This window comes from Homo sapiens, chromosome 7, assembly GCF_000001405.40.
Source record: "Homo sapiens chromosome 7, GRCh38.p14 Primary Assembly".
NCBI classification, from domain to species: domain Eukaryota; kingdom Metazoa; phylum Chordata; class Mammalia; order Primates; family Hominidae; genus Homo; species Homo sapiens.
Genome location: NC_000007.14, coordinates 51,182,690 through 51,199,066, shown reverse-complemented (window position 1 = coordinate 51,199,066; position 16,377 = coordinate 51,182,690). Strand labels below are relative to the sequence as shown.

General features: G+C 41.0%; 1 protein-coding gene across 23 annotated transcripts in view, besides 2 other annotated features; it reads left to right on the top strand.

Annotated features, from left to right (window-relative positions):
• COBL (cordon-bleu WH2 repeat protein) overlaps positions 1-16,377 on the top strand; it is a 300,598-nt gene that overhangs the window by 117,743 nt on the left and 166,478 nt on the right. For 14 of the 23 annotated variants that reach the window (NM_001346443.2, NM_001346442.2, NM_015198.5 and 11 more), the window contains exons 3-5: positions 5,478-5,688; positions 7,989-8,217; positions 14,868-14,965. In NM_001346443.2, coding sequence (NP_001333372.1) covers positions 5,478-5,688; positions 7,989-8,217; positions 14,868-14,965 — 538 coding nt within the window. Of the gene's footprint in view, positions 1-5,477; positions 5,689-7,988; positions 8,218-11,108; positions 11,154-14,867; positions 14,966-16,377 lie in introns of those variants that run through there. The other 9 variants (XM_017011898.1, XM_047420078.1, XM_005271750.1 and 6 more) reach the window with 2 other exon arrangements.
• Positions 10,087-10,692: an enhancer, noted in NCBI's record as "H3K27ac-H3K4me1 hESC enhancer chr7:51256072-51256677 (GRCh37/hg19 assembly coordinates)". NCBI's record gives its function as "activates a minimal SCP1, AML or CMV promoter by ChIP-STARR-seq in primed H9 embryonic stem cells {active_cell/tissue: H9 hESC(primed)}" and the evidence as "EXISTENCE:reporter gene assay evidence [ECO:0000049][PMID:30033119]".
• Positions 10,693-11,299: an enhancer, noted in NCBI's record as "H3K27ac-H3K4me1 hESC enhancer chr7:51255465-51256071 (GRCh37/hg19 assembly coordinates)". NCBI's record gives its function as "activates a minimal SCP1, AML or CMV promoter by ChIP-STARR-seq in primed H9 embryonic stem cells {active_cell/tissue: H9 hESC(primed)}" and the evidence as "EXISTENCE:reporter gene assay evidence [ECO:0000049][PMID:30033119]".

The following is a 16,377-nucleotide window of genomic DNA, read 5'->3' as shown; positions in this document are numbered from 1 at the left end:
CTCTCAGGAAATGGAAGATGGGACTTTTGGAAGCACCACAGCTCCTTGTGGTTGGAGCTGAGTTCATAGGAGGACAGGGATGCTTTCAGTCCATAGCTGGTACCAAAGCCTATGAGCCTGCCAGCAGGCTGTGGGCCTGATTTCTCAGTGTATCCCTCCTCAGTCTGGGGCTCTACCAGGGTTTCACAACCTCCTATCTGGATCCCAAAGCTCTTACAAAGGAACTTCTGTGCATGGCAGGCTGCCAAATCATTTTTTTCTGTTGGGGTACATGAGCCAGAGACTTCCTGTTCTACTGTCTTACTGATGTCACTCGCACCTGTGTGTTTACCAGTGCCCTGTGAGTTCCCAATCTTCAATTTATTTGGTAACATCTGGAAACCATAATTATGTCCTGCAAGAATTATGCAAGTTACTTATTAAGGAATAGATCAGAGGAAAAAAACCTGTGCCCAACTTCTTGGGAAATTCATAGGAAAAGAGAGTTTAGCTTTAAATAAATAGAAACATTCTGCTAGGAAAATGTAAAAGAAATAAATGCAGAGAATCCCAATAAGACACTTCACAAGAAGATCCCTCCTAAGATACATAATCATCAGATTCTCCAAGGTCAAAATGAAAGAAAAAATGTTAAAGGCAGCTAGAGAGAAAAATCAGGTCATCTGTAAAGGGAAGCCCATGAGACTAAAAATGGACCTCTTAGCAGAAACCCTGCAAGCCAAAAGAGATTGGGGGCCAATATTCAATATCCTTAAAGAAAAGAAATTCCAACCCAGAATTTCATATCTGGACAAACTAAGCTTCATAAGCAAAGGAGAAATAAGATCTGTTTCAAATAAGCAAATGCTGAAGGAATTCCTTACCTCCAAACCTGCCTTACAGGAGCTCCTGAAGCAAGCACTAAATATGGAAAGGAAACACCATTACCAGCTACTAACACTAAAGTACACAGACTACTGACACTATAAAGCAACCACTAAACAAGTCTGCAAAATAACCAGCTAACATCATGATAACAGGATCAAATCCACATATATCAATACTAACCTTGAATGTAAATGAGCTAAATGCCCCAATTAAAAGGCACAGAGTAGTAAGCTGGATAAAGAACCAAGACCCATTGGTATGCTATCTTCAAGAAACCTGTCTTACATGCAGTGACACACGTAAGCTCAAAACAAAAGGGACTGAGAAAAATCTACCAAGCAAATGGAAAACAGAAGAAAGCAGGAGGTGCAATACTAATTTCAGACACAACAGATTTTAAATCAACAACGATAAAAAAAGACAAAGAAGGGCATTACATAATGGTAAAGGGTTAAATTCAGCAAGAAGACATAATTGTTTTAAATATATATGCACATAATACAGGAGCACTCTGACTCATAAAGCAGTTTCTTAATGACCTTCAAAGAAACTTAAACTCCCACACATTAATAGTGGGAGACTTTAACACCCCACTGACAATATTAGACCATAAAGACAAAAAATTAACAAAGATATTCAGGACCTGAACTCAGCACTGGATCAGATGGACCTGGTAGACAGCTACAGAACTTTTCATCCTAAAACAACAGAATATACATTTTTTCATTGCCACATGGCTTATACTCTAAAATCGATCACATAATCAGAAATAAAAGACTCCTCAGCAAATGCAAAACTTAAATAATAACAACCAATCTCTCAGACCACAGAGAATCAAATTAGAAATCAAGACTAATAAATTCACTCAAAACCATACAATTACATGGAAATTGAATAATCTGCTCCTGACTTACTTTTGGTTAAATAATGAAAGGAAGGGGAAAATCAAGAAGTTCTTTTAAACTAATGAGATCAAAGATACAACATACCAGAATCTCTGGGACACAGCTAAGGCAGTTTTAAGAGAGAAATTTATAGCAGCAAATGCCTACATCAAAAAGTTAGATCTCAGTTTAACAACCTAACACTACAATTGAAAGAGCTAGATAACTAAGAGAAAACCAACCCTAAAGCTAGCAGAAGACAAGAAATAACCAAAATCAGAGCTGAACTGAAGGAGATTGAGACACGAAAAATTATTCAAAGGATCAGTGAATCCTGGAGCTGTTTTTTTTTTGAAAAAATTAATAAAATAGACTGCTAGCTAGGCTAATAAAGAAGAAAAGAGAGGAGATGTATATAAACACAACCAGAAATAGCAAGTGAGGTGTCACCACTGACCCCATAGAAATACAAATAATCATCAAAATATTATGAACACTTCTATGCACATAAACTAGAAAATCTGGAAGAAATGGATAAATTCCTGGACACACACACACTCTCCCAAGACTGAACCAGGAAGAAATTGAATCTCTGAACAGACCAGTAACAAGATCTGAAATAGAATCAGTAATAAATAGCCTACCAACCAAAAAAAAAGAAAAGAAAAAGCCCAGGAGCAAACGGATTCACAGCTGAATTCTACCAGATATACAAAGAAGAACTGGTACTATTACTACTGAAACTGTTCCAAATAAATAAATAAATAAATAAAGAGGAAGGACTCCTCTCTAACTCATTTTGTGAGGCCAACATCATCCTGATACCAAAAACTGACAGGGACACCACACACAAAAAGAAAACTTCAGGCCACTATCCTTGATGAACATCAGCGCAGAAATCCTCAACAAAATACTGGCAAACTGAATCCAGCAGCACATCAAAAATCTTGTCCACCACGATCAAGTAGTCTTTATTCCTGGGATGTAAGGTTGGTTCAACATATGCAAATCAATAAATGTATTTCATCACATAAACAGAACAAAAGACAAACACCACATGATTATTTCAAAAGATGCAGAAGAGGCTTTTGATAAAATTCAACATCCCTTCATGTTAAAAACTCTGAATAAACTAGGTATTGAAGGAATATACCTCAAAATAATAAGAGCCATATATGACAAATTCACAGCCAAGATCATACTGAATGGGCAAAAGCTGGAAGTATTTCCCTTGAAAACCAGCATAAAACAAGGATGCCCCCTCTCACCACTCCTATTCAACATAGTACTGGAAATTTTGGCCAGGGCAGTCAGGCAAGAAAAAGAAATAAAGGGCATACAAATAGGAAGAGAGGAAGTCAAACTATCTCCATTTGCAGATGATATGATCCTATATCTAGAACACCCTATAGTCTTGGCCCTAAAGCTTCTTAAGCTGGTAAAACAATTTCAGCAAAGTCTCAGTATACAAAATCGATGTACAAAAACCCCTAGCATTCCTAAAAACCAATAACAGTTAAACTGAGAGCCAAATCAGGAATGCAGTCTCATTCACAATTGCCACAAAAAAATTATAAAATACCTAGGAATGAAGCTAACCAGCGAGGTGAAAGATTTCTACAAGGAGACTACAAAACACTGCTCAAAGAAATCAGAAATGTTACAAACAAATGGAAAGGAAGGATCAATATTGTTAAAAATGGCCATATTGCCCAAAGCAATTTATAGATTTAATGCTATGCCTATTAAACTATCAATGACATTCTTCACAGAACTAGAAAAAACTATTTTAAAATTCACAAAGAACCAAAAAACAAACCCAAATAGCCAAGGCCATCCTAAGCAAAAGAACAAAGCTGGAGGCATCATGCTACTTGACTTAAAACTATACTATAGGGCTACAGTAACCAAACAGCATGCTATTTATACAAAAACAGACACATAGGGCAATGGAACAGAATGGAGAACCCAAAAATAAGATCACACACCTACAACTATCTGATCTTTGATGAAGCTGACAAAAACAAGCAATGGGGAAATAACTCCCTATTCAATAAATGGTGCTGGGAGAACTGGCTAGCCATATGCAGAAGATTGAAACTAGACCCCTTCCACATACCATGTACAAAAGATAACTCAAGATGGATTAAAGACTTAAATTTAAAACCTAAACTATAAAAACCCTGGAAGACAACCTAGGCAATACCATTCTGGACATAGGAACAGTCAAAATTTTATGACGAAGACTCCGAAACCAATTGCAACAAAAGCAAAACCTGACAAATGGAATCTAATTAAACTACAGAGCTTCTGCACAGCAAAAGAAACTATCAACAGAGTAAACAGATAACCTACAAAATAGGAGAAAATGTTTTCCAACTATGCATCTGACAAAGGTCTAATATCCAGCATCTAAAAGGAACTTAAACAAATTTACAAGAAAAAAAAACAAAACCCATTAAAAACCTGCACGTTGTGCACATGTACCCTAAAACTTAAAGTATAATAATAAAAAAGAAAAAGTGGGCAAAGGACATGAACAGACACTTTTCAAAAGAAGACACACATGAGGCCAACAAACATGAAAAAAAGCTCAACATCAGTGATCATTAGAGAAATGCAAATCAAAACCGCAATGAGATACCATCTTACACCAGTCAGAAGGGCTATCATGAAAAAGTCAAAAACCAACAGATGCTGGTAAGGTTGCAGAGAAAAAGGAACACTTATACACTGTTGATGGGATTGTAAATTAGTTCAACCATTGTGGAAGAGACAGTGTGGCAATTCCTCCAAGACCTAAAAGCAGAACTACCATTCAACCCAGCAATCCCATTACTGGGTGTATACCCAAAGGAATATAAATCATTCTGTCATAAAGACACATGCATGTGTATGTTCATTGCAGCACTATTCACAATAGCAAAGACATGGAATCAACCTAAAGACCCATCAATAGTATGTTGGATAAAGAAAATGTAGTACAGATACACCATGGACTACTATGCATCCATTAAAAAAAAGAACAAGATCATGTCCTTTGTAAAAACATGGATGGAGCTAGAGGTCATTATCCTTAGCAAACTAATGCAACAACAGAGAACCAAATACTGCATGTTCTCACTTATAGGTGGGAGCTAAATGATGTCAACACATGGACACATAGAGGGGAACAACAACAAACACTGGAGTCTCTCAGAGGATGGAGGGTGGGAGGAGGGAAAGGATCAGAAAAAATAACTAATGGGTACTAGGATTAATACCTGGTTGATAAAATAAGCTGTACAACAAGCCCCCATGACACAAGTTTAGCTGTGTAACAAACCTGCACATGTACCCCTGAACTTAAAAGTTAAATCAAAAAGATACATTATATTTCTGAATAACTGAAAATTTAGTGTCTTGTATGCATGAAAAATATTTGTGCTAACAGACCTTAGATGATCCAACTCAACATACCCTTGGATTTAACTAAAAATATAACTATTTTCCAAGCTATTAATTATGATTTTTCTCTTTCAATAGTGTTGTTTGTTAGTGCTGAAAATGTTAACATATTGCTCTACAACCATGCAGAAGGAATTAATGAGCTTCTGTTGTCTTTTTTCATAAGCATATCTAATTTGCTCATTCATCCACTTGTTCATTTGTTCTACCCTTATTTAGCCAGGCAAAAGAGAGAGTGCAGTCATTCCTAATAATCATGATTTGTTTTCCTTTTTTCAGCCATGCGATGATGGACCTACTGGTTGAACTTTGCCTTCAGAACCACCTGAATCCATCCCACCATGCCCTTGAAATTCGGTCTTCAGAAACCCAACAACCTTTGAGTTTTAAGCCAAATACTTTGATTGGGACCCTGAATGTGCATACTGTGTTTCTGAAAGAAAAAGTTCCTGAAGAGAAGGTTAAGCCTGGTCCCCCTAAGGTGCCTGAGGTTAGTAGGTACCTACATGGAAATACCTGTGTCTGAATGTGTGGCAGGTCCTGAGTAGGGGCCAGTGTGGCTCTTCTTATCAAAGTACAGTGCAGAGAGCTGTGGCTGAGGCTGCTACTTTCATGCCAGGCAAAGCTAGGCACTAAACAGAGTTTGTTTTAGGAGACAAAATGTACACAATTGAATAATGTTTATTGTTGTAACATTGCTTCTTTATATATTATAGAAGAGGAATTGATCTACAGTGGAGCTATCCATTAGACCTTCATTCAAAGAGGGGCATGGTCTTTAATTCTGTACTTTCTTATATGATAGCCACTGGCTGCATGCAGCTTTTTTAAAAATTTGGTATGTTTATTATAACTTAAATATCTAAAATATTCATGTAGATTTTTCTTTTTTCATTTTAATTGACACAGCTTTTGAACACTTGAAATGTGGCAGGTATGATTGAGAAACTGAATTTTTAATTTAATTTTAACTTTAAATTTAAATTGCCACTAGCTAATGGCTACCTGATTGGACAGTGTAGTTCTAGAATTCTTCCTGACTCAGGAAGCAGTTGGTATCCATAGAAGATTTAAACATCTTCCCAGAGGAAGAGAAAAGAAAGGGAAAAAAACTTTTTTGAAAAACTGATGTCAGAAATATTTATTCATTGCATTTGGAGAATATCTTATATACATAGCTATATTCCAGGCTTTTGTTTATTAATTAAAATTAATTCTAGTAGCTTATTATATACTTTTATTGTTTTTGTTGTTGTTGTTTTGAGACGGAGCTTCACTCTTGTTGCCCAGGCTGGAATGCAGTGGTGTGATCTTGGCTCACTGCTACCTCTGCCTCCCAGGTTCAAGCAGTTCTTCTGCCTCAGCCTCCTGAGTAGCTGGGACTACAGGTGCATGCCACCACACCCGGCTAATTTGTGTATTTAGTAGAGACAAGGTTTCACCATGTTGGCCAGTCTGGTCTTGAACTCCTGACCTCAGGTGATCCACCCACCTCAGCCTCCCAAAGTGCTGGGATTACAGGCCTGAACCACCATACCCAGCTTTATTGTACTTTTAAATAAGGCTTTGATATTAATCTTTTAGCTAAAATTAAAAGCAATGTTACTTTCATATTCTTAGCAGACCTTCTAAATTTTCCTGCTTTTAAAAATGGTAATGCAGCCAACATTAATCTCCTATTAATTTCTAGGATTGATTGGTTAGTGCATTCTCACTGTTATCTGGAACACTCTGACCAGAGATTTCCCCTTATTCCTCAAGTAAACAGTGTTTGAGGCAGAGCATCTCTGTATATACCTTGCGTCTTCCCTTGACTTCCTGCTTCTCAGGGCAGGTGAGCCCAGGCATCTGCATGATTCCACTTGTTAGGGCAGGAGAGGACCAGTAAAGGAGCAGTAGGTTCCGTCTTTTCTCCCAAAATGCATTGTTATCCCAGCCACTGGGCCCTGGTACGCAGGCTGGAAGAGAGCGTGAGGCCTTCCTTTGCTGCTCTTTTGTTCAATCTACATTTACTGTGTCCAGCTCTACAGTGTCTTAGCACAATTAGAGTGATCAGTAAAAGCGGAAGAAAAATAATCAAAAAGTGGGAGAAAAATGACTACCACTTTATCTGCAGTCATTTAGAATTAGCATTAGTCAACTGAGTGTTTTTCTTCCTGATTATTATATATGCCTGGTGTTTTTTAAAATATATTTATAGCTTAAATACGTGTGTGTAGTGTGTATACATAAATACATGTAGGTCTGTGTACACACTGTATATGTTTCATATATGTGTGTATATAGTACATATATACAGTATATATGTATTTATATATATATATATCTATGTACATATATAGATATTCCTGTATTTATGTGGATATTTTGACTCCTTAAAACTTTGATGTCATGTTTTTGGAGGGTTTTTCTTTAAATTATTCATACTGCTTCCAAACTTTTTTTTTTAGAAAATGCATATAAGTGCCATGTGTTCACATCTGGCCAGAACCCTTGGAAGACAGTAAAGTATATGTGTTGGATTTTAAATGTAGAGTCTTCCCTGATGTTTATTTCGCTGTGTTGTTAGCAGCTTGTTCACTAGCAAGAGATTCTAAACCAGATTTATTATTCTAGACATTTGTTTTTCAATATTCATTATGCTGTTTTCCCCCATTACTCACTCAATTTGTGGAAGAAGGATTCAGGCTACACACAATCCTGCCACACCCAATTGTCAAATTGACACAAGAGTTGAAGGCTTGTGGGAGGATATCTTACTGAATTCTTTTTGCCTGTGTGTTCTTCCAGAAATCTGTGCGTTTGGTCGTGAATTACCTGCGGACACAAAAAGCTGTTGTGCGTGTGAGCCCTGAGGTTCCTCTCCAGAATATTCTCCCAGTCATTTGTGCAAAGTGTGAGGTCAGCCCAGAGCACGTGGTTCTCCTCAGGGACAACATTGCCGGAGAGGAGCTGGAGCTGTCCAAGTCCCTGAACGAGCTCGGGATAAAGGAGCTCTACGCGTGGGACAACAGAAGAGGTGAGGCCCCGCTGCGTCTCACGCACCTGCCCATAATCACACGGATGCGCGGCGTGTACATGTCCCCTGTTGGCTCTCCCCAGCACTCTCAGTAGCGCCAGGGAGAGATGGGTACATGAAGTTCCAGGCAAGTCAAGTTGAAGTAGGCAAAAAAGAAATCTGGCCTGTTTTCATTCCTCTGGATTGAGCTGTGCCTCCTTTCTCCCAGCCCTGAACATGTCCTTTATCCTTTGTCTCCCTGCAAACTTCCACGACATAAGTAAAAGGGGAAAAGGTGAGGTGAGATTAGAGCTTATGCTCTGAAGTAACTACTCCAAACCATCTATAATACTTTCTTGTGGGTTGGTGGCTCACACTTGTAATCCTGGCACTTTGAGAGGCTGAGGCAGGAGAATGGCTTGAGCTCAGGAGTTCAAGACCAGCCTGGACAAAATAGTGAGACCCCGTCTCTACAAAAAAATTTTAAAATTAGCCAGACGTGGTGGTGCATCCCCATTCCTGTAGTCCCATCTACTGGAGAGGCTGAGGCTGGAGGATTGGTTGAACCCAGGAGGTTGAAGCTGCACTGAGCTATGATTGCACCATTGCCCTCAGCCTAGGTGACAGAGTGAGACCCTGTCTCTTTAAAAAAAAAATTATCTTGATTTTCTTTTTCAGTTGCCATTAACTGCTGTTCCCAGGTTTCAAACATTGCTCATGTCTAAAACCAGTGGCAGAAATTCATTTAGCTGTTCTCTAAAACTGAACAATTACAGTGCGTGAGATCCATTCCTGAAGATAACTTTAGGGCCACCTTAGGCCTCCTCACTGTGTTGCCAGTGTCATCCTGCTTGCTCATCATGTGAAACTGGCTTTTAGTATGAGGCCACAGTTAGAGCCACTGGTGAGAGTGGCAGCCCAGAGGCCTTGCTGGTGCAGAGACTGTTATGTTGTGTAAGCACATGTTTCTGATTGATATAGAGTGCTAACTGCTACTGTCAGGCCAAAGGAAATGTTATATTCCTTGACCTTAGAATGATCAAAATGGACTTCGTAAAAGTTTCTCTTCTAATAAGCCTCATTTGATGTCTGTTGTCTCTGTTTCATTATTCCACAAATATTGAATAGGTTGAGTTTAAAAAATATATACATATTCAAGTTTTTCCTGTTTTTCTATGACTTTTTTTTCTAATTTTTTCCAACAAAAATGTATTTTTTCTCTTTTTTTTATTTTTTGAGATGGAATTTCACTCTTATAGCCCAGGCTGTAGTGCAATGGTGCAATATCGGCTCACTGCAACCTCCACCTCCCAGGTTCAAGTGATTCTCCTGCCTCAGCCTCCTGAGTAGCTGGGATTACAGGCACCTCCCACCATGCCCGGCTAATTTTTGTGTTTTTAGTAGAGACGGGGTTTCACCACGTTGGCCAGGCTGGTCTCGAACTCCTGACCTCAGGTGATCCGCCTGCCTTGGCCTCCCAAAATGCTGGGATTACAGGCCTGAGCCACTGCGCCTGGCCATATTTTTTCTTAATACCAAGTTTATTGTGAAATCCATGATCATAGTGGAATCTCTGTCCAGCCTTCCTCTCCCCGCCAAGTCCGCCCTTGTCTTCCTGGGTATCTGGCATCTAGATCTGATTTGACATTCAAGAGAGGGTTTTGGCTCAGTTGAGTATAAGATACATGGACTGTTTATTTCTTCAAAAAAAGTACTCTGACATTTGAGAATAATGCATCTTGTGTTTTATCCAGTGTCTTTTTTAAAACACAGACAGAAATAGTCTCAGTATTGCTGCAAAGGCCTGGTGGCACTGAGTATATCAGCACTATTTAAATTTGGTTTACATGACTCTTTGGAAACAGCTTCCATTTGTTAAGATAAAAAGAAAAATAAAGGGAAAACTGTTTCACGTTCAGGTATCTGAAATAAAAAGGCTTACAAGTGTTTCTGTTACATGCTACCACTTGGATGTATCTTGAAAGGTAGATGTTGAACCTGGCACTTGGGAGAAGTGATATAAAACCTGCCTGTCTGTGAAGGAGAGGACCCAGGATAGCCCATGGTCATTGGGAATGTAGGAGCTGAAGTGTTCATGTGGTCAGGGGCCCAGAGCATCTCTTCTGATCCTCATATGGGACAGAGCAGAACAAGCCGGTGCGGTCAGCTTGGCCGTTCAGATTTGGAAGCACTTCTGCCCTTGGTTGGAACTAGCTGCTCCCAAACCTCCAAGTCCCCCTCTCTACTCCTTTGGACATTTTGGCCCTTTCCACCCCACCCCCAAGGCACCACGAGCTTCCCCACCATGGGGGCTCTGCTCCAGCCTTGTGGCCAGCACCCCTTTCGTCTGGACCATGCCTGTGCCATGCCAGCTGTGACATTTGATTACCGTCCCTGCCAAATGCCTGCCTCCTGCTCACTGTCAAATATTCGAAAAGAAAAGACACTTGTCCAGAGGCCATCTCCGAGGCTCCCTTTCTCCCCTACAACCGCCCTGGGCAGGCCTGCTGGGTACTGCTGGAGGAGCCCTTACTTTCAATCCTCTTGGTAGGCACTTGGAGGGGACAGACGTCCACTCCTGAGCCCTACCACTGCTGGAGAACAGAAGGGCAGCTGGCAGGAGGTGAGGCATTGCTACGCAGAGGCCTGCCCTCCCCTGGAATCCCCGGTGGGAGCATCTTGATAAAGCCAAGGGCTCTGCTGCCACCTGCGTCCTCAGCGGTGCTTAGCAGGCTATGCAGCTGTGGCCCTGAGAGGGCCAGCCCAGAGAGGCAAGCTGACCCAGCAAGAGACCTTCTCACTGCTGCAGCAGGACAGCCCCCCTCTGAGGCTTGTGAGGGCCAAGGCCTGGGTCAGGGACTCCCACACATCTCAAAGCTGGACCTCACTCTCTCATTGCCTGCCTTTTCCAGTTCGTCTGAGCAAAACTCAGTCCGAGCCTTCCCTGAGCTGTCAAGGTACAGTGAACCTGGGGCTTCCCGCTCCCGCTGTGAGGCTGCACTATGCATGGCTCTGGGGTCAGAGCTGCACAGAGGTGATGTTTTTGTGCCAGACTCCAAGGAATGGAAGTTTGGCTTGGGGCCCTCCTGAAGGTGCATGCGAGGCTGACATGAGATTTTGGTTTGGTTTCTTGATTCCCTGGTTGGTTCAGATAAGAATGCTTCTTAGGAGAATTTGCTGTGTGGCTCTAATTGATGAGAAATGAGGGAGGCTGTTACAGAAAACAAATTCTGTTGCCCAATAATTCAGGGCAGATCAGAAGTGGTGTGCGCAGGAAAGGCACCCTTTCCTTTTCACCTCTGCCTGCCCATGCTTACCTGCCCCTGAAGGCCATCCTGCATGCTACAGAATTTGGGACAGTATGGATTTTAAAATTTAACCTTTTCTGTCATAGACAAGTATGCAAATGATTAGTCCAGATTTTGCATTTATTCCAACATCTATTTAAGTTTCATAGAGATATTTCTATACAGAAAGAGATGTTTATATGTATATATAGGCAGATATAGATATATGTGTGTGTGTGTGTGTGTGTGTGTATATATATATATATATATATACTTAAACATATACATATATGTATATACATATGTAGAATGCCCATTGTACATTTGCAGATGTTGACCTGGTCCCCCGCTTCCATTTACTCCTTATGGCCTTGTTCTGGTCACTGAGTCTCCTCCTCTAGACAAGTGAGTGGTTTGGACTCGTTGGTCTTTAAGGGTCCTTCATCCTTCTCTGCCACTCTGCAATTCATCTTTAACATTTTTCAAATCATTGTAATGCTTCAGAAAGTAAAACTTTCTTGCAGACTGTGTGAGTTCCCACACTTTTCTTAATATTTAATTACGTGTAAATTAGAGTAAATTCAAACAAAATAAATGCCACCCTCAGCTTATCATACCATAGGCACCATGGGTTCTAGAGCTCACTTGCGTGTGTTCGAGGGCTGGCTATGCATCAGTTGTTCATTGTTGCTCTGCTTTATAGCTGGGCAGCCTCTGGAAATTTTGGCTGATGGGAACACTGAGTTCTCCTACTTTGCTCCCAAACCAGTTCTTCTTCAGTGTCTGCCAAGCCTCTAGAGGCCTCATAGGAGGCCCCTATCAGTCAGTGACTGAGACCAAAGCCTCACCTCTAAAAATAGACCATCAGTGTTAGGCGCAGCTCAGCACTGTGAGTCACAGGCCCCTGGTGCCTCCAGACAGCTGCAGGCTGTAGCTGCATGAGAAAGTGTCTCTCCCACTATTGAGGGGCATTCTGGTGCCGGGGCTGTCCTGGACCCTTCGTCAGGGAGCCGACCTCAGTCCTTAGAGGTGATGATCAGCCACTGTCCTCATTCAAGAAGAGAAACAACAGGCTAGATCTCATTGCAGTTTTCTGATGCAGTCTGTCCTTTCTGTGGTCGGTGTAATACAGCTTGTGTACTAGGAAAATGCTCTACTTCTCGATTATCAGTAGGATACTATGATGTCATCTGTTTCAACATAGACAATTTCTCAACTTAAGATTTTTCAACTTTACCATGGTGTGAAAGTGCTATGCATTCAATATGCTCCTGGACTTACGATGGGGTCACATCTGGATAAAGCCGTCGTGAACTGAAAGTGTAACCCCATCGTCAGTTCGTGAGCATCCGTTGGTCCATGTCACATACCACTCAATTCTAGAAACATCCTTGGTTATAAACATACATATTAAAGCATATAATAGTTTAGATGCAGTCTTAACTGTGTGCTCTGTTTTCCTCTTTATAGCTCTGTACCTAATAGAGGGCTTGCTGCAACTAACTTTACAGCGCGTTTGCACACATGCATTGGTGCTGCTGCACCATGTTGCAGTGGGCCCTCTGATTTGGGTACTGTGCGATGTGGAGCCTGCTCAGTGCCTCCACTGGAGCCTCCTGCATGTAACCAAGTGTCCTGGCCCTGCCCTGGTGGCTAGGATGTGCACCTTTGCTCCTACAGCGTGATATCAGGAGCGTGTGTGCTGGGTTTTTGCTTTGCTGTGTGGACGCTATCAGTGTTCACGCCTGTGTTATTAATGCACTGACTGCTGTGTGTGTTCTCTAACTCAAATGTGAAATCATATATTAGCAGGTCAAGAAGTTAATTGAGGGTTACCTTGTTTGCATTAATAGTCTGATGGCAGAATTTGTAAAATCCCAGTCCATGATTCTGCCACCAATGGTATAGAGCTCTTGCTATCAGTTGGCAGTGATATGGGAAAAATCATTTTTCTATCCTCCAGGAACACCTCCACTTTCCTTCTTCTTGTCATATCTGTATGCCCTGGCAGAGAAGAATGGAATGAAGTAATGACAAAGGCCTTTCCTGAGCAAATCATGACACTAGTGAGCAGTGTGCTGAGCTGTGTGAGTGCCGTCTGCGTGCTTGATGCACTCACCCTCAACCTGCAGATGAAGCTGCTGAGGCTTGGAGGAGCTAAGTGGTTTTCCGAAGTGTGCCTCACACATGGGCGCTCTTAATCTCTCAGCACCACTCCCAAGCGTGTTCTCCAGACCCTCAGCTTAAGCCTCCTTAGGGGCTAGTTTGACTGTGTAGTGCTGGGCCCTGCACCCAGCGTTTCTTATTCTGGGGGTCTGGAGTGGGCCCAAGCATTCGCATCTCTCATAAGTTCCCAGCGATGCTGATGCTGCAGGTTCCATCTCGCTTTGGGAACCACATCCCATGGCTGTCTTGTCAGCTGACAGACACATCTGGGCTTCAGTGTGCTTGTCTGGAATTTGGAAGGTTCCAACCTGGCTCTAGAATCCTGATGAAGAAAAATTCAAGAGGGGTTGAGGATTTAGAGCTTCAGGAAAAAGAAAGAAGAAAACAATTGCTCCCCTAGAGAATGTAATTTGAAAGGAAAACGTTCTGGATGCAGCAGAGGAAGGAAAATCTGGAAAGGTGGTTCCTGGGAGATTTGATGCAGTTGTTTCAAATACCACCTGGGGAGCCCATAGCTGTTACTCCATTTTCTGGAAATGAGCAGGAAAGCTGCTGATTTATTTCATTTAGTTAAAGTTTGTACCTCACTCATAATTCTTAAAGCAGGTGTATTGCACTGATGTCGCAGTCTTAGAGCTGTGCTGATTTGGCAGCCACAGGCCTCATGTGGCTCTTGCATGTACCGAGTCCACACTGATATGCTGTAAGCCTAAAGGGCTGCTGGATTGTGAAGACTTAGCACCAAAACCAATGTAAAATATCTCATCAATACTTTTTATATGGACTGCATGATAGAATGACAATATTTTAGATGTATTGGATTAAATGAAATTATTACAATTAATTTTACTTGGTTCTTTTTAATGTAGCCACTAGGAAATGTAAAATTACATGTGTGGTCTGGTTTAGCTTTCTGTTGGACAGCTCTGCCCTAGAACTTTATTTATTTTGTCATTCTCCAAAAGGGCACAACCACACCCAGAGAAAATGCCTCCATCATTCCTAAAAGACTGTGTAAGAACCTGTAGTGATTTCCCAAATGGACCTGAGGACTTGAAGTGGCTCGGACAGCTTTGAAAGAAATAGTTGATGGCTTTCCCTCTCTTACAAGAACTAAAAGTTTAAGAGTAGAGGATTCATTTATTAAGATTTTTTAAGTAAAGTATTGAATCTCTTGTTTCAGATGCTGAAAAATAACTTAGTGCTTTTTTTTTCCAGAAACCTTTAGGAAATCATCACTTGGCAATGATGAGACAGATAAAGAGAAGAAAAAATTTCTGGGATTTTTCAAAGTTAATAAAAGAAGCAATAGTAAGGTAATGGATTAAATACACATATGATTTTGTATCATGTAAAAAAAATAGTCTCTTGAAATACATGCATTCAACCTGTCCTGGAACTTTTCTAAACAATTCTATTTAAGAATACTAATTCCTTCAGGTAAAAGAGAGCTTATTAGTATGCACTGGAATGACAGGCTGTGCTTCCACACTTGATTCCAAAAGGAGTAATCTTGGGTGATGGTGGTTTATTCACTAGGGGGACAGGAAGCCTGTGGGCTCCTGATGACCGGGGCCATGAGCCCTTCTGCCTGTGGGTGTTCCGGTACTTCCACAGAACTCTGCCTGTGGCTGAAACTCAGTAAATCTTGTTTAGATTAATGAATGAGTGAATGGATGTTATAGTTAAGTGTAAATAGCCAATATTGCTATCAGTGAACTGTAGCTTATGCCTCGTGGCAGAGAAGAGTATCAGTCATTGAACTTGTCTTCTTGCTAGTAATTTTTAGATGTTCTTTGGTCCTCCTGATATGATCTGGGAATGTACTATGTGATAAGTTAATTTTATTGATTTTGTTGGTGTTTATGAAACACATCTCAGAGTCATATTTTGGATACAGTATTCTAGAGTAATTAAGTCATAGTACCCAGAATAAAAATGAAGATTTTTATAATTAATTATAAGATTATCAAACCCATAAATGCCTTCTGACTACCAAGAAAAGAAAATGCTCATTATCCGTATTTATATTTGCTTCACAAGTATATTTTACTAATATCTAGTATTTTATCCTTACTAATAAGTAAGACTAAAAAAGACAAAACTGTTCCAGTGAATGTTAGGTTTTAATTCCACTAGCTCAGTTTGGAAGTGTGCTCCATCTGTATATTTCTACAAGAGATGTGAAGACTGGGGACTCAAGTTTGTGTGCAGACCTTCTCAGTGCCATGGTGCAGATAGGTGCATGTAGCCCAAGGCCGGACACCTGATTTCCTGCCCTTCAGTGGCCTGTGGTGCAGCCTCTGCTGTTAGAATTGTGGTTTACCCAGGTTTGCTGATGAGGATACCAGGGCTCAGAGAAATAAAGTAACCTTCTTAGTGTCCCAGGCTTAGACACAGATGTGTCTGCGTGCAGAGCCAGCACGTCCCTGTAGCCCTGTGGTGTTTGGGAAGGGAGGAGGAGAGTGAGAGCCAGATGAGAACAGAAGGTCCAGTGGAGCTCGGCCGAACTGGCAGACTTCCTGTCTTTAAGAGTTTTTCACAAACCTCAGATTCACCTCTGCTGAAGCTTCGGTAATGGTTTTGTGATTCTCTTGTACTTAAGAGATTGAGCTTTTCCCCATGTTGTGCTTTTCTCCATGTTTCTGCATGTCCTTTGAAAAATCTGTACTCCATGCATGTCTATGTAAGACCTTTGGCTCCCTGACATTTTCTATCCCCTCCCACT